Source organism: Homo sapiens, chromosome 6 (genome assembly GCF_000001405.40).
Source record: "Homo sapiens chromosome 6, GRCh38.p14 Primary Assembly".
Lineage (NCBI taxonomy): Eukaryota > Metazoa > Chordata > Mammalia > Primates > Hominidae > Homo > Homo sapiens.
Genome location: NC_000006.12, coordinates 36,107,055 through 36,128,947, shown reverse-complemented (window position 1 = coordinate 36,128,947; position 21,893 = coordinate 36,107,055). Strand labels below are relative to the sequence as shown.

Sequence of the window (21,893 nt, the reverse complement as noted above, 5' to 3'; positions counted from 1 at the left end):
GGGCAGGTGGGGGGAGGAGATGGCTGCAAGGGCTCTGGATGCCCAGCCTGACTTGTCCAACCCCTCTCTTGCCCAGGCATGGGGCTGTGGAAGGGGCGGGGACCACCTGCTTCACTTTGTCAAAAAGAAGGTCTATTGAACAAGGAAAGAAATTTGCTAGGGGCTTACAGCAAGCCGGGGGCCCACACTAGGGAGTCTGCAGCCCCCAAACTCTGTGCCCCAAGCCCTCCCGGGCAGTCCTGCAGCCTCAGGCACAGCCTGGAAGATCATTCTGAGATGAGGGTGGGGTGCCATCATCACACAACAACACCTGCCATTATTTCAGTCAGGCAATCTGTCTTTTTCATTTCTGGCACATGGCAATATAACAGCAAATGTGTGGAGAATGAATGGAGGAGTCAGCCCATTAGATGTAAAAGAGTCATTTAATACACACTTGTGTTTGCCATGTGCCCGTCATTAAGTGTTTTATATAACTCACTTAATCCTGGTAAGAGGCCTGTGAGTCAGTAATATGATTATCCTCATTTTAGAGATGAGGAACCCGAGGTACAGAGAGGCTAAGTAATTTGCCCAAGGTAACACAGCTGGTAAGGGCAGAGCTGGGTGAAAGCAAGTACAGCCTGATTCTAGAGTCCCTGCTCTTGGCTGCGAGGCTATGCGGTGGCCTAGAGTTGACAGAATTGCTCCTCAAAGGAAATGGCCTTGCCCACATCATAAGGACATGTCTACTGATCCAACCATGTCTCCCTCAGTCCATCCTGCCCTGGGGTATCTGATATTTTCCCCAGCCTTTTCCCTCCCCCACCCCCTACTCTGGCCCTGAGACCCCATGAGAGCCTAAGGAACGGGGTCGCTTGCCTGTGAGTGCTGCAGGAGTTTTGGACCTTTGGGATCAGTGGCACCAGTGCAAGGTACCTTGATTCTGAAGTTGGGGTGGGGTCCTGGAAGCCAGATTTTAGGCTAGACGCAGGCAAAAGAGAGTAACTGACCTCAGAGATTCAGGTTTTCTTCTGGTTTGAGGATCCAGTAAGGAAAGGGGCTAGGATGTGGCACCAGGTCAGGATGGCGCCTCTCTGCTGCACGTCTTAAACACCTGAGTGGGGCAGAGGTGAGCCCAGGAAGGTGGGGATACCAAGGACATGCTCATCGCCCAAGTGGGTGCGATCTTCTGAGAGCACGAGTGGCCACTCTGGCTGTAGCTCCGGATGCTCTTGAGCAAGGGTCAGGAAGTGACTCAGGCCTCCGACTCTGCTGACACTGACCCCTACTCTGGGCCTGACTGGCTCTGCATTACTCAGCAGCCAGGCAGTCTGGGAGGGAGCCCTTGGAGGATCCAGTTGGGGAGTCATGAAAGGGAGGGGAGGAGGAGAGGGTCACTCAGGTCATCCTGGATACCCTGCTTCTCCAGCCTGAGGCTCTCTTTTGAGTTCCAAGGGCCCTTTGCTCTTCTCCTCTCCAAACACCAACCCAAGTTGTCTTGTTGGTTTCTGCCCTATGAGCATGGAGCATGGAGGCAGGGATTCAGGAAACTAGCTTTGGAATGAGGCCTGAATTTACATCCTTTCTCTGTCATTACCAGCTGTGTGACCTTGGGCAAAGTCTGGCCCTCTCTCTGAGCTTCAGTGTCCTCCTTGTGAAATGGGGATAATAATAAAGTATGACAAGCATATTGAAAGAGCCTTAGGATTGTATCATTTCAAGTACATATTCCTCACGACAACCCAATGAGGTAGGAACTTTCAATGCCTCCAACCAGAGATCACCAGAAACACACGTGTGGGTGAACAAGCTGAGCTGATGACTCGTTGCAACAAGGGAGAGCATGCACCATGGGGATCATGGGGCGTCCCAGGAAGGGGGCGTTAGAAAGGACTTAGTCTAATGTTTGGAGTTGTGTTAGGTGATTGGGGAGAGGTTAAGGAAGTGAGGCTTTGTTCTGGGTTGATGCTGTCAGGAAGTGGAGCTAACACTATGATTGGGAGTCTTAATACATCTTGCCTAGAAGGAAAGCAGACTAGAGCAAGGCTGAAGCTACAGCTGGTAAACCAGCAGCCTCCACTCAGCTTAGCTCTACAGGGGGATTTGGGTCATTTCTGTGATTTGACAATATTCATGTTTTGTCTGTGTTCAGATATGATTAAGGAGTAGTTTCATTTTTGTCTTAGTCTGCCCTGGTCGCGGATGGCCTTGTTCTATGCTGATGTCTGTGAAATCGTCTATGTTCAGCACAGCAAGACCGAATTGCACCAGGCTGGACAGCTCTGAGCAACCAAGTCCTGGCTGATAGGACCAGGCAGCTCCCAGATGTCAGGGCTGCTTTGGTCTAGTCTATTCCAATATAATTATTCCCCTGGTACAGATGGAGAGACTGAGGCCCGGAGAGGTTATGTAATTTGCCCAAGGTCGCACATAACTAAGAAAGTGGTGAACATGATCTTCATACCTGGCATCTGGCTCCTAAGTCTGCACATTTAACTGTCAACTAGAATTCCTGGTGCCCAGCAAGTGCCTGAGAAGTGGCTGCTGTTGTTGCATTGTCTTCCTAGCTAGCCTGTGAGCCTCTGGAGGCAGAGACATGGTGTGGGAATTGGTGACTGGTTTCTTAGAGATCGAGACAAAAGCCCCACATAACTATGAGACTGTCATGTCCCCTATCCTGGCCACCCAGACCCTATCTTGCCCCACGAGCACAGCAGCCACCCTGTCTGTCCCATATGGCAGGACCAGCATGAACCTCCTCACCATAATGAGGATGGGCCAGCAGGAACATCCTCACCATGAGACCTCCACAGAAATGAGAAAGCATGACACATCTGGGGTCCTGTGAGGGTGGGACAGGCCAGGGAGCCCTAGAGCTCTGGCCCCAGCTCTAGAGAGTCCCATGCTCTTCTGGGGCTTTCAAGACTCCATGAAACAAGCAAAATTACAAGGAGGCAGGGAGATGCAGAAGAAAGACTGCAGATGTGGGCTGCTCTGTGGCGTGGTAAGCTGTGTGATCTTAGACAAGTTAGTTGGCTCCTCTAAGCCTGTTTTCTCATTTGTAAAACGAGAGTGGGTGATAAGACCCATGTTACAGGGCTGTTGTGAAGACTAAACGAGATGACTAGAAAAGTGTCCAATTCAGTGCCTGGCACACAGTAGGTCTCGCCAGAGGCTCCTTCCCCAATGGACTGTGTCAGCTCTGCCCGGGTACTCCAGCTGCCCAACCCCAGCCCCTGCCCTTTGGCTGTCCAGTCCCTGCCCCAGAAGGTGTCCCCTCAGTGAGAGTCGGCTCCAACTCACGTCCAACTCCTCTATTAAGTTTTTTGCCAGATACTCAGCCCAAGGATTCATTGACCCATTCATTCAACATTTATTTGTTGGCTGGGCGTGGTAGCTCATGGCTGTATCCCAGCACTTTGGGAGGCTGGGGTGGGAGGATCACTTGAACCCAGGAGTTTGAGACCAGCCTGGACAACATGGTGAAACCCTGTTTCTACTAACAATAATAATAAAAATTAGCCAAGCATGGTGGCACACGCCTGTGGTCCCAGCTACTCAGGAGGCTGGGGTGGGAGGATTACTTGAGCCTGGGAGGTCGAGGCTGCACTGAGCTGCACTTCAGCCTGGGCAACAGAGCGAGACCTTGTCTCAATAAACAAGTAATTTAAAATGCTGGTATTTAATACTTCTCTATGGTTCAACTAAATGTAGTGGCAGGTGGTATTAAGTGCTATGAAGAAAATAAGGCAGAGTAAGGATCTAAAGGACTAGTGAGTACTATTTGATCAGGGAAGGTCTCTCTACGGAGGCAACATTTGAGCAACCCTTGAGTGGGTCTGGGAGTGAGCCCAGCGGACATCTGGGGAAAGAGCAGGTGCCTGCCTCCCAAACCCCTCAGGGGACACTTGACCCTGCAGACCAGGCACCCAGCCTCATTCCTCCTGTGCCCATTACTTCCCTACTCCAGCAGCCTCTGGTAAGTCCCTCAGGGGAACAGCTTAGAGCACCTGGGACACCTTACTGACCTCCGGAAACTTTTTTTTTTTTTTTTGAGACAGTCTTGCTCTGTCACTCAGGCTGGAGTGCAATGGCGCGATCTCGGCTCACTGCAACCTCCGCCTCCCAGGTTCAAGCAATTCTCCTGCCTCAGCCTCCTGAGCAGCTGGGATTATAGGCATGGCCAGCTAATTTTTGTATTTTTAGTAGAGACAGGGTTTCACCATGTTGGCCAGGCTGGTCTCGAACTCCTGAACTCAGGTGATCCGCCCGCCTCGGCCTCCCAAAGTGCTAGGATTACAGGCATGAGCCACCGAGCCTAGCCAGCCTCTGGAAACTTGATGGGGTGCTGGGCTCCTCCTGCAAGGCCATCTCCCCAACCTTGTCTCCCCATTACCTCTTCCCCTTCTCAGGGGCAAGGGCTGGTCAGCAGACTTAGGGCTCAAGCAGAACATCCATCCCAGCAGCAAAAGATAAGGCACCATCAGCCAGGTGCGGTGGCTCATGCTTGTAATCCCAACACTTTGGGAGGCCGAGGCAGGCAGATCACCTGAGGTCAGGAGTTCGAGACCTGCCTGGCCAACAAGGTGAAACCCTATCTCTACTAAAAATACAAAAATTAGCCGGGCATGGTGGTGCTTGCTTGTAATCCCAGCTACTTGGGAGGCTGAAGCAGGAGAATCACTTGAACCCAGGACGCAGAGGTTGCAGTGAGCCGAGATCGTGCCACTGCACCCCAGCCTGGGCAACAAGAGTGAAACTGCATTTCAAAAAGAACGAAAGGAAGGCAGGAAGGAAGGAAGGAAGGAAGGAAGGGAGGGAGGGAGGGAGGGAGGGAGGGAGGGAGGAGAGAGAGAGAGAGAAAGAGAGACAAGAAAGAAAAGGCACCCTCCCCCACTCCCCTGCACCTCCTCCACCTCCTCCTCTCTCCCCTCCTTCAGCTTTAGCACCCCCTGGTGGAAGACGGGGGTGGGGACAGCTCTGTGAGTCGGGCACCTCTCAGCCAGCCTTCTGGGTTCGGGATGACAGGCTTCCCCTCTTCACACCTCCCTCCCCACACCATCCGGTCCACACTCCCCGTTCCACTCCACCCCTAAGGCCTGCCTCCCTGCACCCAGCCCACATGTCACCCTCCACTCCACCCTACAAAGATGTGGCTGGGGTAAGGTCTGGTGCCCAGGCCTCCGCTCTGTTTGATCTCGGCCTTGTCCTTGGTAGCATTCAGCATAATATTAATCTGCATTGTCTCCTGTGACATGTCCCTCTCCACCTCTGGACAATGACTCTGTAAGGGCGAGGGCAGTATTCTGGCCACTGCTGAGCCCCCTGGCACTGTGCCTGGCCCATTGTAGCTGCTCAGTAAAGACTTAGTGACTGAACCAACCAAGGAGTTTTGTGTCTCTTCTGGGTACTACCCATAGGAGGAAGATGTGGCTTGAAGACCCAAATGGTGGGACCGAGTAAGCAATAGTAGGGGAATATGCTTGGCTAGCCTACCACAGGGTGGGATCTGGGATGTGTGGTCACTGTTCAGTCTGATACAATCTGTCCTAGGATGTTTCTGATTTTGCTGTTCTTCCCTTGCTCCCTGAGGGAAGGCCTAGAGGCCTCATCCTTGTGGGGCCCCCAAGGTCCTAGCATGAGGCTGGACCTTCGTATGGTGGTGAAAGAACCAGAGTGTACAACCTGAATCTGAGGCCTCTTCTCTTGCCACGAATTTGCACCATCCACTCCAAAGCAGGTTCCTCCCTGTGGACAGCCCTCCTCACCACTCCCACTGAAGCTCTGCATGAGCCAGATCCTCTCCCTATGGAATTGTCCACCTTTCCTTCCTTCCTCTTTCCTTCCCTCCCTCCCTCTCTCCCTCCCTTCCTTCTTTCCAAGCCTAACTCTAAACTCACATCTACAAGGAGGTGTTCCCGAGTGAACTCTAGATCCACTCACCCCACTAACCCTGTGCATATCCCTCTCCCCAAGACCCCCACTGCACACCACCCGCTTCCCCCTCCACAGGCTTTGTGACGTCCACATTCTTGAAGCGTGCTTGTACTCCTGTGAGCCAGTAGAGAGGTAGCTGAGTTCTGGGAGACAGGGCTGAGTCTGAATCTCGTGCCTCCATTTGTAGCTACAGGTGGAGCTTCCTCATCAGTAAGATGGGAGAATGTCACTTGCATAGCCAGGGACACCAGGAGGGTTTACTGAAGCAACACATGCCAGGTTGCAGGCATTGTGCATGGTGCTCCCTCTGGTCCTTCAGGACTGCTCATGTGTCACCTCCTCCGAGGTCCCCCTGACCTCATTACAAGCCATGCTCACCTGCCTTACCTGGCCTCGTGTTCTTCAAGCCCTGTGTACCTGTTTATTGTCTGCCCCCCTCTAATAGAATGTCTTGAGGTTGGCGAGGGTAGGGGCTTTGTCTATTTTGTTCATCACTGAATTCCACGTACCTGGAAGAGTGCCTGGCAGCCGGTGACTGGCCGAATGGCAGGGATGTAGCAGGGCCTTATCCCCAGCAGCCTTGTTATCGCTGCATCTCTGTCTGTGTGCAGCTGATATGCAGGCCCAACTCACCTTCGTGCCTGGGGCAGTCTCTGCTGTGCTGACCTGACAAACCGCAGTAATGGAGTCAGGTCCTGCCTGGACTCCTGTGTGCAGCCTGCCTCAGGCAGGAGAAGCTGTGCACCCTGGAGGCCACCTCCACAACCTGCCTGTCCAGGGCAGAGGCCACAGGGTCTCCTTGCTCCACCCCTTCTAAGTAAACTATCCAATGTCAGGACACATAGATCCTCCCCAGAAGCCCTATGGACCTTGGTCAGGGGCAAATAACCCCAAACAAGACTAGCAGGGCTACCTGCCATGGCAGAGGTTTGGGCTCTGATTCTAGCTCTGTCTCTAATTTGCTGTGTGACCTTAGGTAAGTCAGACTGCCTCTCTGGATACATTCATTTTCTATTATATGCATTTAATAAACATGGAAAGAGCACTAATTACTTCCCAAAAGTTGTTATAAGAGCTTTACATACATGTAACTTAATCCTCCTGAGGACTCTATGAGATGGGTTAACAGTATCCCCCATTTTATGTATAACAATGAGACACAGAGAGGTGAAGTGACTTGCCCAAGGACACACAGCTAGTAAGCACTAGAGCTGGGAGTGAAGACCAGGTAGTCTTGCCCAGGGTCAGTGCTAGTAACCACTATGCTTAGCTGCGCTGGATGATGCTTGTGAAAGGCCAATCTTTTGTAAGAAATAAAATTAAGTAGAAAGAACATTGCAAGACCCTGTCTCTAAAAAAATAAGAGTCACAGAGAGCTCCAGGACACCACTGTCACTGTCAGCCCGAGCACAGGTGTGGCAACAGGGATGAGTAAGGGGCTGTGGAGGGGAAGCCACCCTGATCCTGGTGACTACACTTCCCTGACAAACAGCTTCTCCCTGCTTCTCAGGCCTGGTCTTCACTCCCTCACACTTGCCCAGGGCTGCCCTTCCTAAGCCAGGGGGCACCCGGATCCAGCTTTGGTCACCTGGAAAGAGGGTGCTCCAGCTGGGCAGCTTGAGGGCAGCACAGCTCCCATGTGACAGGCAGCCAGCGGCAGGCAGCCCAGCTGTGATTAATCTTCCTGTTTCAGAGCAGCCCTGCCTCCCCATAACGCCCCACCCCCGGTAGCTCTCAGTGGCCTCTAGGATAAAGATTAAACTTCTTAGTCTGTTGGGCAAGGCTTGCCCCCATCCGGACAGGCCCTGCCTTTCTTGCTAATCGGATCCTCCAAGGTGTCTGTGCCCAGGCAACCTCCATTCTAGCGATCCGCAAGCGTGCCTTCCTCATCCCTGTCACCACGTCTTTGCTTGAGCTGTTTGTGACCTGTCTGGAATACCATCCTCTGCTTTGCCAAGGAGGGGGGGTGGGGCATCCTCGTTCCTTACAACCTGCTCAGCAGCTCTTCCTGGGCTGGCTTTGCCAGGCCACTCTCACCAGCACCCTTAGACTTGGAATTCTCAGTTAACTTTCAAACAAACCTAAATTGTAAGTTCTTGAGGGCACGAGTGTCTTATTTTTCTCTATCCTCCTTACCTACCTGGTGATTAAGGTAAAGCCTTAATCCATTCAACCAAATTTTGCCAGGCACCTCTCAAGACATTGAGAATACACGGACAAATGTCACAGTTCCTGTGCTTGAGAAGCTCCTACCCTAGTGAGGGCGGCAACAGGAAACAGTGACAACACTGTCGTCGGCAGGTGGGAGTGTCAACTGGGGCAAGCTTTTAGAACCATTTGGCAATGCTGCCAAAGTGTCAAAATGTGCACCTTGTTAATCCGGTAATCCCATAGCCATCAATTTAGTGAAAACGCGAAAACAGCCGGGGGATACACACTTATCACCGCATTGCTCATCATCTGTATCAATAAAGAAAAGTTTCCAGCATCATGGTGGGGGGTGGCGGTGGTGGTGGGGGAAGAGGAAAAGGAAACACACTGCTTGGATGAATTGTCTCAGATTTGGAGAGTATGTTCCGGATGGCCAGCCTTAACAAATATAGACTAAGTGCTGAGGGTGAAATTCACTTGGCTGGTGGGGGTGGGAGGAGGAGTGAAGGTCCTTGTCAAGGCAGAACGCTGAGATGTTTCACACACATGCCATATTCACTTCTGATATTTTAAAAATAGAACATCATAGATACTCATCATCATGATGAAAACGGTGACAAAAACATATAGTTCTTACTATGAGCCACACACTGTTCTAAGTGCTCTACATTGGTTAACGTATTTAACCCTCACCACAATCCTGTGAAGAAGGCACTATTATCAATATCATCCCATTTTACAGTTGTGATAACTGAGGCCCCGATTGATCAAGCAACCTGCGGAGGTTACACAGTGTCAGTGGTGGAACCGGGATTAGAACCTAAGCTGTCTGGCTCTTGGCAGCTGAAGCCCTTTCATGCCCCTCTCTGATTCCATGCCCTCTCTCCCTCCCTAGAGGTGACCCCTCTACAAGTTGGTGTTTATTATTCTCGTCTGCTTTTAGTTTTACTATATACGTATGCATCTGTAAACGATGCCAGATAGATCGTTTTGCAGCCTCCTTTTTCACTTAAGGTTGTTGGTGAGATCTGCCAAGATGTTGAGTCGTCTCTGTTTCTCAGCCTCGGCACTGCTGACATGTTTCTGCTGGGTAATTCCTCGTTGTGGGGGCCGTCCTGTGCGTCGCAAAATGTTCAGCAGCATCCCTGGCCTCTACCCACTAGATGCTCACCACCCTCACCTCCAAGTGTGACAACTAAAAAGGTCTCCAGACATTGCCTATTGTTCCTGGGACAGAGGCAAAATCAGGGGTCTGGGGTGGTGGTGGGGGAATCATTCTAGTTCATTTGTCTTCACTGCCATTTAATATTTCATTGCATGAATACATACTGCAGTTTATTTCCTATTCCCCTATTGATGGTGTTTGAGGTTTGTTCCCATTTTTTCCTGCTATTACAAATGATGTTGAGTGAAAAGTCTGTACTCTGTTCCTTGTTGACATACGAGAAAGCTTCTAGAAAGTTCTAGAATTACCTAGAACCGCAGCTATGTACAGCTTCTGCCCTTACTGAATCCTGCCAAATGGACGCCAATGTATGAAAGCTCTACAGTTTTTGCACGGGCAAATTCATTTGCCTTTTCCTGCATGGTTTCTAGGTTTGGGGACATGCTTTGAAAGCCTTTCTCCATTTAAATCTTTGACCTGTCTGGAAATGATTGTGGCTGAAGGAGGAAAGTGTCTATCTAGCTGTTTCAATGCCATTTATTGACACAGATCACTGAATAATAATGAGTTTTAAAAGCGATGTTTTCCAGATTTAAAAAAATTTCTTGGAGTTATGCCAATCTGTCAACAGCTATTATTTCCAGGTAGTGGGATAATAGATGTTACCTACTACATTTAAACATTTTCAACAATAAATATGTTTTGTGTCATGAAAGAATAATAGTTAGACAAAGTAATGTGGTAAGTGCTTTGACCCTGGTAAGATCAGCACAAATTACATAAACACTTGGAGGGGGGCACCTGACTCAACTGGAGGCTGGGGAGAGGACTGGTTGGGTGGGGGCTGTTTCCTCACCGTGAAGCAGGGTGGGGCTTGTTGAGGGCACAGCAGCCACTCGGCTGTTTGCCTCCAGATAGGGACACTCCCCACCACAAGCACTGTGTCAGCAACCATGATCAGATAGTCATTGCCTGTCTCACTGGGCAGAGCTGTGAGTGGCTGAGTTTCCATACAGGACAATCAGCTCTGTCATACTTGAGCAATGGCCCAGGGGAAATGGGTCTTTGTGTAATGGCAGCGGATGGTGACCTCACACCTCACACTGGAAACACACAGTGGAGCCAGCTGATCAGGTCGAGGTAACCCAAGAGGACATGCAGCCCTGGACGCCACGAGAAATCCTGTTGTCTGTCAGTTGAGTGCCAGGGAGGTGGATCAAAGGTGCACCGGCCCAGAAATGGCCTCCAGCAACAGGTGCTTAGATGTTCTGTTCTAGGGGTGCCAGCGAGATGGTACAGTCATTGTTTACCACTGCCTTTTCCCATGAAAACAACGAACAACTCCATGGGGACAGGAATTTGACTTTTATTCTTTCCCATATTCCCAGTGCCTGACAGATGGAAGGTACCTAATAGATATTTGTAGAATGGCTGAATGAGGGTGCAAGACACCATAATGCCTTCCAATTATCTTTCTTTTGCCTTGCTATTTTCATTTTAAAGTGGCAGATGGATGGGGACACAGTAGGAATTATCTAGATTATGGCCATCAGCCACTTTCAATAATCTTTTGGTTCTTGTTCTAATTCATTAAATTGCTGTGCAGCCAACTTGAATTACACAGCAAGACACAGCAAAGAGAATCAGAAGCCAATTCTTCTAACACGTATCTCTTCTTAAACAAGGAAATTCCACACAGCACCATTTCTTAGGCAAGGCAGATAACCCCTACATATTTGGTTTTTCTTTAAATGATCTTTGCTTCTAAAGACTATTGATTGTAAAAACAGGAAGCAAAAGACAAGGTGATCTGCAAGGGATTAAAAGCTGACAGTCATTTATGGACTCGGTCAATAAGGACTGAATGCCTACTGTGTGCCAGGTACCAAGCTAGGTGACAGGGACACCACAGTGAACAAGACATGATCTGTCTTCGATGACATGCAGCCTTAAGCCAGTATTTAGCATTTACTGTATACTCAGGGTTTTTCATGTCTTAACTCATTTAGTCCTCACAGCCCCACTCTCTATTATTGGTACAATCTTGAGCAAATTACTTAATCACATCAAAGGTTCCAGAGCCTGTATCCTTAACCTTTATATGTTTTTCTTTTTTGAGCAGGTGGTACAAACAGCAAGCAATGATAAAGCAGTGTAATCAGTGCCACCAATGATCATTCCAGATTACAGGGTGCATGCAGAAGACACAGCTAATCCAGGCTTGGGAATGGTCAGAAATTTACTGAGGGAGTGATGTCAAGGCTGAACAGAAGAACGAATACATTAGCTCAGAGGAATGAGGAGGAGGAAGAGGGTTCTAGAGAGAGGGACTATCACGCACAAAGACCAGGAGAGAAAGCAAGAGCACACAGTGACTTTGTCCCATTAGAGCACTGCTATAGAGAGCCAGAGGGAAGCATGCTCATCTTCTAGGACATACAAAGCGAGTGCTGGCTTGAGCCCTTTTGGCTGAAAGAGGGAAAAGGTAGTTTCTCTTCAGAGGCCTGGAGGTGCATTTCTATCCCAGATGAGTAGAGAAGCGAGGGCAAGGGGCCTGGAACTAGGGAGAGAGACCCAGTGTGTGCTGAACAAGATAAGGCACCAGTGCCTGGCTGTGGCTGCCAGGGACTCCTCCCCAATTTGGCCAGCAGCAGCCAGGGAGTCCTTATGGAAATTATGCTGAATTAATTTTTTTAAATTTTCTTTAAAAAAACCAAAAGAGGATTGTCTAACACCAATGCTATAAAACTCTTTGGAACCAGGAGTCTTTCAACGTTGATATCAGGATAGTCTGTTGAATCTAGCCTCAGTTGTAACGTGACTGAGAAAGAGACATTACTTGTATAGAATATGCAAGAATGTAAATTGCCTAACATACAGTAGCAGTTCATTAAAAGAACTACTTTTTAGTAGGGAGGTAAGGAAAGTAGGGGGAAGGAGGTGAAGGAAGGAAGGAAGACCATAGGGAGCCAGGTCTGTCCTGCATTGTGGAGGTTTCACTTCTTAGGACTCCAGGTGTCCCAGAGTCATTTGATCTGTCAGCAGTTCTCAGCGGGTGCACTGAAATCTCTGGGGCCATTTTTGGTTATCATACTGATCAGGAGTATTACTGATATGAGCATGCACGGGCCACTGTGCAGAGTGGGATTCTTAACAAGAATTGCTTCACATTACAAACATCCTGCTGGACATTCATGAAGGTGGAAAAAACTATTTATGATTATCTGAGCCTAGACTGTAACTTGGTTTTACATATCAAACAAATACTTTTCTGCATATTAATATACTTACATTTCCCAGGATCACAACTGAGTAAATAAAAAAGTTCTCCAGGCTGGGCAACAGACTGAGACCCTGTCCAAAAAAAAAAAAAGATTCTAATTGTTTGTTTGAAATTTTTACCAAGAGTTGCTTACCACTTTCAGAAAAATCATGACTGACAGCAGTCAGCCATGGTATCTGAGTTGTCAAGACAACACAACTGTATCAGTACGCATTTGGAGCTGTCATATTCAAGGTGATTCTATGTATAGGTACAAGCATCTAACTACTTCATTATTTCTTTTATGTAGCTATGCCTGAGAATTTACTTTTTATTTTTTTTTAGACAGGGTCTCACTCTGTCACCCAGGCTGGAGTGCAGTGGAATGATCATGGCTCACTGCAGCCTCAACCTCCATGGCTTAAGCAATCTTCCTGCCTCAGCCTCCTCAGTAGCTGGGACTACAGGTGTGTGCCACCATGCCCAGATAACTTTTTATTTTTTCATTTTTTTTTTTTTTTTTGAGACGGAGTCTCCCTCTGTTGCCCAGGCTGGAGTGCAGTGGCATGATCTCAGCTTACTGCAAGATCCACCTCCCAGGTTCAAGCAATTTTCCCGCCTCAGCCTCCTGAGTAGCTGGGACCCAGGTGGGTGCCACCACAGCTGACTAATTTTTCTATCTTGTACTAATTTCGTATTTTTAGTAGAGATGGGGTTTCACCATGTTGGCCAGGATGGCGAGTGATCCACTTGCCTCAGCCTCCCAAAGTGCTGTGATTACAGGTGTAAGCCACTGCGCCCCGCCCCAGTTAACGTTTTAAAAATTTTCTGTAGAGACGGGTTTCTCCATGTTGGCCAGGCTCATCCTAAACTCCTGACCTCAAGTGTTCTGCCCGCCTCAGCCTCCCAAAGTGCCGGGATTACAGGTGCGAGCCACCATGCCCAGCCAGCACTTATATATGGAAATGTATTCGTATTTTTCCTTTGTCATTTATATTGGATCATTATATTTTCTTTGAAATTGTGTGAATTATCTATGAATTTCACCTCAGCATTATAAAAGAGGTATTATAAAATATTAGTTATGCAAAGGGTAATAGATCTGACAAGAGTTTAGAACCACTGGTTTTTGTTAAGAATCTAGGCTGGGTCTGTGGTTTTACACCTTCTTCTTTTCTGCTGCAACTGACACTCAAATGGTGGTGGCAGTTTCTATTTTTAGTTGCAAACTGAAGGTTACTTCCTTATTTAACTTATAATAACTTCTAAACAAAGCACCTTCCTTAAATTGAACTACTCAAATAACTCTGCAATATAACATTATCCCACTGGCTATGCGTACTTAGACCACAGCCTATGGCTTCAATAATGGGTTTTCCAGAAACTGCCTCAGGACCATTTGTCCTCAGAAGCTCTCTCCCCAGTTGGCTTTAGAGACACACACTGTTCCCAGATGCAGAAGGCTGCAAACTCCCCCTAACAAGACAGCCTCGATGCCCCCTGTCAACTCGTGAGATGCAGACTAACCAGTATCTTGAGTGTCGACAACACACCAGGCACATTGAGATTTGTTATTTCCTTACTGGTCTAAGAAAATCTTGTAGTCATACCCCCAGTTTAATTACCAGATTTTCTGCCTGTGGATAATGGCAAAGAACTTCTGAACAAAGGATAACTTAATTTACTCAACCTACTGTTTTTTTTTAAGAAATGAAATGACCTTTATTCAGTACCAAACATATTTCCCCTAAAAATATGTATTTGAGTCTAAAAAGGCCTTTCCAATTTGTACTTTTCCTCCAAGATGCCAAGCTACTTTTTTTTTTTTTTTTTAAACAGAGTTCCACTCTTGTTGCCCAGGCTGGAGTGCTGCGGTGTCATCTTGGCTCACTGCAACCTCCGCCTCCCAGGTTCAAGCGATTCTCCTGCCTCAGCCTCCCAAGTAGCTGGGATTACAGGTGCCCACCACCAAGCCCGGCTAATTTTTTGTATTTTTAGTAGAGACAGGGTTTTGCCATGTTGGCCAGGCTGGTTTTGAACTCCTGACCTCAGGTGATCCGCCCACCTCGGCCTCCCAAAGTGCTGGGATTACAGGCATGAGCCACCGTGCCCGGCCACCAAACTACTTCTTTAAGTTACAACAGGCCAGTGGGTGTTAACTCTTTTTTCAAGAAAAGAGGCTTTGGTGTTCTGCAAGATTAGGAGGGATGAAGTGTTAGATTCATGGTTTTCAACCAGGGATGATTTTGTTCCCCAGAAGCCATTTGGCAACAACATCTGGAGACATCTCTGGCTATCCCAACTGGGGGAAGGGAGCATGAGTGCTACTGGCATTAGTGGGTAGAGGCCAGGGATGCTGCCTAACACCCTACACTGCACAGGACAGCTTCCACAACAAATAATTATCTGGTCTGAGATGCCAATAGTGCCAAAATTGAAAAATCCTGCTTAAGATCCTTAAAATACACCCTTCTACTGAAGAAGAAACAACCAAACCCTCCCAGCTGGGTGGAGAATGCCGCTACAAAGTACTGGTGCGGCTTTGCTTGCCAGAGGCCTAACAGCTGGGTGCAATTTCTTTCCAGCAACTGTTCTCCTGCCTTGAAAGGCTGGGCTCTAGCCCTGGCAAAACTGAAATTTGAGAATGGTTCCCCAGGTCACATAGACTTTTAAACACCTTTCTCATTAAAAAACAAAACAAAGAAAGAAAAGGTTTCTTCTGATCACAAAACAAAACTCTCAGTGTAAAAAAAGGTACACATTACAGAAATAGCATAAAAATTAAAGGGCACAATCCCACTGCCTAGAGATGGTTGCTAACAGTTCAATGTATATTCATTTCCTAGCCAGGCATTACCTATCAACAAAAAAGGGGGCTAGGATACTACAGTTTGCCACTGACTTTTTCTCCTTCACAATGTATGTTGCACATCTATCCATGCCTAGCTGGATGGTATTCCACTGCACAGATGACCATCTTATTCAATCAAGTCCTTATTCATAGATATGTGGGTTACTTCCAGTATTTTGCTGTACAAAGAATGTGACACTGAAAAACATTCTACTTTGTGCACTTAAGACCTTTTTTTTTTTTTTTTTTTTTTTTTATGAGACAGGGTCTCACTATGTCACCCAGGCTGGAATGCAGTGGCACAACCATGACTCACTGCAGCCTTGAACTCCTGGGCTCAAGAGATCCTCCCACCTCAGCCTCCCAAGCAGCTGGGACTACAAGGCATGCACCACCACACCTGGCTAATGTAGAGTCAAGAGTCCCCAGCTATGTTGCTCAGGCTGAAGACTTCTGAGAAGTGTAAATGCTAAGTTCAAAGGGCATGTACATTATTAAAACATATCTGCATTATAAATAAAAGGGGGTCTTTATTATTTGCATATTCATTAACCAAGTCCTTGCAGCTACCAAATTATATAGAGAAGTGAAAGTCATCCCAATGTGAAAACATTCACTAATGAGCTATTTATAAAAAGTTAGTCCCTCTTTGCTTCTTAAGTACCTGAAGCCAATGTATTTATCCTGCCCACTGTATTCTGGTCTTCTGTTAGTCTCTATGGTTATACTGTAAGCATATGACAAATGACACAAATAGAATGCAACTTAATTGCAATAATCACAAATCTTGCAAATGGTGGTGGATTTGATGAAGTTGATAAATAATGCTAGAAAACTGCTCAAACCTTAAGCAAAAGCTCTGAAAAGTGTGGGTGACAGACTCAGACCAGTTAACAATAAAAGGAAAGTTGAGGAGGTGATCACCGATAGATACTTATAAAAAAGAATGTGAATATCAAAATATCAAGAGGCCTTCTGAAAACTGATGAAGCCCTCAAATATTTTTGCAAAACTTCCTTCTATGATCACGTTGCAAAAATCAAATGAGAAAATTATTGTAAGATACAAAATCAGTTTCACTTCAAAAACAACTTAATTTCCTTGTCAGAATTAATATATCTTTAAAATTATGAACATGCTTTTGTCATTTTGTTCCATTTTCATGATTAAAGTTCCATTCAGGTTTCCCCTATCCCCCAGTGTCCACCACATATGAAATTTTGGTCCCCGTTTTAAGTGGATTCACTTCAGGGGAGCTTTTTGTGGTGTCAGCTCTCTTTGGGCTAAGCAGGCCCTCTTCTCAGAAGCCTAGGAGGAAGGCTGTTCTCATGTCTCATGTCTGGTATGTGAAGGCAAAATACTCCCTACAACGGTCTGATTCTTTTTTTTTTTTTGAGACGGAGTCTCACTCTGTCACCCAGGCTGGAGTGCAGTGGCATGATCTTGGCTCACTGCAAGTTCCGCCTCCCTGGTTCATACCATTCTCCCGCCTCAGCCTCCTGAATAGCTGGGATTACAGGCATGCACCACCACGCCCAGCTAATTTTTTGTATTTTTAGTAGAGACGGGGTTTCACCGTGTTAGCCAGGATGGTCTCGATCTCCTGACCTCGTGATCTGCCCGCCTCAGCCTCCCAAAGTGCTGAGATTACAGGCGTGAGCCACCACGCCCGGCCAACTGTCTGATTCTTAACAGGAGCTAAAGGACCCCATGTAACAACCGGGGCCCTTTTCTCTCACCTCCTTACGAAGTCACTGGGGATGGAAAGGAGACTATGCTTGGTCTGCCTTCGATCACTGCCTTCATTCCCAGCTGCCAGCCAGGGCCTGGACAAAAACCCAGCTCTCAATATCCTCACAGGCTGAGCCCCACAATCCACCCTGGGACACCTGCTGGGTGTCATTCCAAGGACACCAAGAAAGGAAGCACATCAGCAAAGTCCCTGAGAACTCAGCTGTGAGACCCCGTGGCTCTTTCATCCCGTGATGCAATTCAGTCATTCTGAAGAATATTTTCAAGGACCGTAGCCAGCTAAGACAAAACAGAGTCATAAAATACATTCGCCTAAAAGCTTACAAACAATGTACACCTATATATACAAACCAAACCTTCTCTCTGGCAGTTTTATAATAAAAATATATGGCTTATAGATAGTCTCAAATGTCAAAGATGAAAAAAACCTGAACTTCACTTTATAGATGAGAAAACTGTAGCCCTGGGCCAAGGGTCAGCAGACTTCTCTAAAGGGCCAGATGGTAAATGGTTGACATTTTGGAGGTCCTATAGTCTCTGCTGCAACTATTTGCCTCTGTCACTGTAGCACAAAAGCAGCCACAGACAATACATAAACAGATGAGTGCGGCTCTGTTCTCATAAAACTTTATTTATGGATACTGGAATTTAAGTTTTACATTACTTACATCACATGCTACAAAATCTACTACTTCTTTTTTTTTCTTTCCCAACCATTTAAAAATGTAAAAGCCATTCTTAGCAGGCTACACCAAACAGGTGGTGGGCCAGATTTGGCCCTCAGGCCACAGTCTGCTGAGCCCTGTCATTTCGGCCACTCTTACACTCGAGTGTAGATAAGACAGGCCCCAATGCTTAATACTTCGTTCATTTGCTCTTTGCTTTACCCATCCACAGCAAAGACCTGGATACTCTTCACCAAAAAATGTACAACTAAGAAGCTTTATCAACATTTTCTAAATGTTAGGAGTAGTATTAAGATCTGTCAGACAAGTATGCCAGGTCACAGTTTAAAGGATATTGATATAATGCCATATTGTGCATTAAATAAAAACAAGAGAAAAATATAATAAACTTGAGAAACTCACTAAATTTGAAAAATAGGCTTTATTTTAACCAGTGGTATTGTCTGACATCCTATACGGCATAACTGATTACAGCCAAGTTCATGAATACAAATAAAATAGCAATTTCCCTCATTCTCTCTTTTGTTTTCTGTTCAGAGAAATCAGGAGATGGGAGCATTATGCTCAGAAACCGAAGAGCTCTTCCAAGAGCTCCAGCTTAGAGTCCAGGCTTCCAGAGCATGCAGCCTCCTAACACGTATGTGGTCACATGTGCAAAGACCTTTATTACAAAATATTCAGAGCAGTATTTCTGTAGGAAATCACACGAGCATTTACAACCAAACATGGCTGATAAAATTCATCTTGCTGTGGATGGTGAGGATTTGAACTGCAATAAAGGAGATGAGGCCTTTACTTTAAAGGTTCACTTTCCTTGAAAGGGGGAGAGTCCCGGGTGAGAGGGAATCGCCATCAGTCTGCCTCCTTCCTTCTTGCTCCAGTTGACTCAGGGGGTCCACCCTGTCCCTCTGGAGTACATGTATCACTGCACTGATTGAGAAATGGAAACACCTTGGCCCAAATACAAGATTCTGTCACACAGCCAACACTGGAAGTGACTTTATACTTTCTTATTACACAAAAGGCTTAAATATATGAGTCCTCATGTAGAACAAAATGCCTGAAATTCAGCAAGTTATGAAAACGACACTTCTCCACCCCTGAGGATATTTTATCTTTATAAAGTTGAAAATACAAAATATTAAAATAATTTGCCCTTTCTCCCCATCAAAAGGAATCACATTCTCAAAGGATTCCTACAATATACAAAATTCTGAAACAAAATTTATTTCTCCCCAAACCAAGAAGTCAATGTTAAGCTGCCAAGAAGACCCTTTTCCATAGGAGTGGAAAAGACACCTTGTTACTTTTTTATTTTAAAGTAATCATATTTAGAGAAAGACAGCAAAAGGAGTTTCTGGCCTTATGGGCTTTAATTTTTTACTTTGATTTTCAGCATTTCTTAGCATTAGTTATTGGGAGTGAAGAGAATAACTTGTTTCCGAAGTTTGGGATATTCCTGGGAAAAGCCCTGGTCTTTTCCCATGATAATTCCTCAAAAATAGTTGGTTGAAAACAGATGGCATGAATAAAAATGCTATACATCCACCTGTTCCTCTTTTCATGATTTTCACATCAAAAGCACCTGAAGTATCAATTGTGTTCAACACAGAATAGCACTAGGGGCTGAAGAGAGGTGATATCACTTGCCATAATATCAGCTGAGGTGACATGGGATCTAAACTACCCAAGAAGTCTTCACTGGCAAACCTGCCTGACACCAGGGCCTCCTGAAGAGAGCAGGACAAGCAGCTGTGCATGCTCAAATAGCAAGACGTGCAAAACACATCCTCACTCTGCTAGAAATAAAGAGTACACAGGAAGTACATGACATCAAGAACCTGCTTCTGACTACTGGGGCAGATATTCAAGAAACCTCTGCACCAAAGGTGAAGGGTAAGCAGAGAAATGGCAACACCTGGGGGTGAGGGAGAAAGAGAGACGCACATATACGCATGTGCTCACATGCACACATGACCGCCTATGAAGGCTGCCTGATTACTCCGGGCCCACAAGCAGCTGTCCAACAGCCCTCTCGACTTGCCCGGCTCAGAACTTCAGCAGCTGCAGTCTTTTAACTATCTACACTTTCTTCTCTCCTTTTAAGGCACAAACATATTTACAGTTTCAAATATACTGTCAAGATCTGAGAACCATACTAAGCAAGTTAATCACAGGCTAGTGCACAGAAGCCAGTTGGTCCTTTTTGGCTGTACGTATCACTGAGGGACGGTGTCAGGTCTGAAGCAACCAGAAGGTATGGGCCTTCTCTCCGTGCCACTGTGGGATGTTGTCAAGTCTACGCCCCACCGTCAAGGTGGGGTCACAGGAGAAGCCAAAGTGGCAAAAGCATGACCGGGATTGGGGACAATTCATATTTTTTTACTTTGCATTGAACATATTCCTAAAAGGACAGCAGCTCTTGTCTGCCTGAGCCAACTCTCAGAAAGAAGAGCAAGGTGGAGGCTGCCCTGGAGCATCCACAACCTCCTGTAAAGTCACTGTGATCATAGTTTGTTCATATTGTCTTACCCTCCCACAAAGACAGACACACACATGCACACACACTAACACGCACGCACACGCACGCACACCCCCTTCCACCATGGAGGAAATCTCTGCAACAAGAGGCACTTGAATAATATTTGGAGAGTTCCCGTGAAAAGGCCTTCCCCTCACAGTGAAGTGGGATCAACAGAACAGAAACCAGGTGCTCAGGACTCCATCTCTTCTTGGTCAAGGGGTGGTGGCACAAAGCTGATGACTTCATCATAGGTCAGGCCTAGAAATTGGGAAGGAAAAGTAAGATGTGAGAGTTTAGGCTATTCTCTTTGCTGGCAAGCACTCTGACTTCTAAGCTCAAGATCCTTCCTCTCTGTCCAGGTAGTGGTTTGATGGGCTACCTCACAGCTTGTATGTAATAGCCTACTGGAACACGTTATCACACAGAAGTTCAAGGGACATAGAAAAGAACCATTTTTTTTCTCATGTTTTTCATCGCTGAGTGCCTCTTCTTTTAAGCTCTCTACGGAGGTGCTCAAGAATGAAAGAGCACTCTCACAAGCTACAGCAACAGATGGTCTTGGCTCTTGGGATTTAACTAGAGTTCTGAACTTGTGTTTTGTGGAAAGAATATGGGACTGGACACAGGATACATGGGTTCCATTCCTGGCTATGTCCCTAACTAGTTCTAAGTTAACTGATAAGACATAAATTCTCTTTGCCCCAGTTCTACTAATTGTAAAACTGTAAAAGCTCAGAGAGATGTTGTAAATGCAATGACTCTGAAAACCTCAACTCTCCATGCAAAACTCCTATGTGAGGGGCTGTGCATAAAATCAGACCAGACATAAGTATCTCAAAGGTCCAGAGAGTATCACTGTCTACAACAGTTTCCACCAGAGAACATATTCATTCTGCATTAGAGACCTCATCTACAAGCTTTAGCAAGTTGGTTATGACCATTCAGTTTTTATTTTTCCCACCGCTTTTGGTTAGTGGTTCAAGATGTTAATCCTACCCTTAGGACTTACTTTTCCACTCATCTATAAGGAGGTCCCTGCTTTCAAAGGACTGATCATAAGGATCGGCCACTGGTTCATCATCAGGATCGTGGTACTGAGCAAAGTAGGCATGTGCAAGGGCTTGGGCCGCTGTAATTCTCTTATCTGAGTCCAATACAAGCATCTTCTCCAGCAAGTCGACAGCTATCAGTACCATAGACAGGAAGGAAAAGAGTTTTTAACATGTTACAAAAAAGTATGCCTTATTGAGCAAACATAGTTTTGACCCTTCATATCCAAACAAAGAACTCTCCTCCAAAATACCTACTCTAGGATATATTAGCCCTCTTCTCCTTTATGTGTGTATGTGTGTGTGTGTGTGTGTGTGTATCTGTATTTTCTATGTTTTAAAATTTTTTTATTTTATTTTTGATTTGGGGGTACATGTGCACATTTGTTACATGGGTCTCACCACGGACTGATGGGGACTGGGCTTCTAGCGTGCCCATTAACCAAATAGTGAACATTGTACCCGATAGGTTATCTCTCAACCCTCACCCTCCTCCTGTATTTTGTATTTTTAAAGAATATGTTACTAAAGAAG

General features: G+C 46.4%; 1 protein-coding gene across 12 annotated transcripts in view, besides 4 other annotated features; it reads right to left on the bottom strand.

Moving 5' to 3' along the window:
- Positions 1 to 4,733: 4,733 nt before the first annotated feature.
- Positions 4,734 to 21,893, bottom strand: part of MAPK14 (mitogen-activated protein kinase 14) — a 96,407-nt gene continuing 79,247 nt past the window's right edge. For 7 of the 12 annotated variants that reach the window (XM_011514310.4, XM_047418232.1, NM_139012.3 and 4 more), the window contains 2 exons: positions 21,320 to 21,493; positions 17,712 to 20,568 (listed from right to left, as the gene is read on the bottom strand). In XM_011514310.4, the coding sequence (XP_011512612.2) occupies positions 20,501 to 20,568; positions 21,320 to 21,493 (242 nt within the window). In that variant the 3' untranslated portion in view covers positions 17,712 to 20,500. Of the gene's footprint in view, positions 6,586 to 9,754; positions 10,509 to 10,581; positions 12,590 to 17,711; positions 20,569 to 21,319; positions 21,494 to 21,893 lie in introns of those variants that run through there. The other 5 variants (XM_017010299.3, XM_017010300.3, XM_047418233.1 and 2 more) reach the window with 5 other exon arrangements.
- Positions 4,985 to 5,034: an enhancer, noted in NCBI's record as "active region_24418". NCBI's record gives its function as "activates an Ori minimal core promoter by ATAC-STARR-seq in GM12878 lymphoblastoid cells {active_cell/tissue: GM12878}" and the evidence as "EXISTENCE:reporter gene assay evidence [ECO:0000049][PMID:35858748]".
- Positions 5,095 to 5,144: an enhancer, noted in NCBI's record as "active region_24417". NCBI's record gives its function as "activates an Ori minimal core promoter by ATAC-STARR-seq in GM12878 lymphoblastoid cells {active_cell/tissue: GM12878}" and the evidence as "EXISTENCE:reporter gene assay evidence [ECO:0000049][PMID:35858748]".
- Positions 8,231 to 8,280: a silencer, noted in NCBI's record as "silent region_17106". NCBI's record gives its function as "represses an Ori minimal core promoter by ATAC-STARR-seq in GM12878 lymphoblastoid cells {active_cell/tissue: GM12878}" and the evidence as "EXISTENCE:reporter gene assay evidence [ECO:0000049][PMID:35858748]".
- Positions 13,631 to 13,710: an enhancer, noted in NCBI's record as "active region_24416". NCBI's record gives its function as "activates an Ori minimal core promoter by ATAC-STARR-seq in GM12878 lymphoblastoid cells {active_cell/tissue: GM12878}" and the evidence as "EXISTENCE:reporter gene assay evidence [ECO:0000049][PMID:35858748]".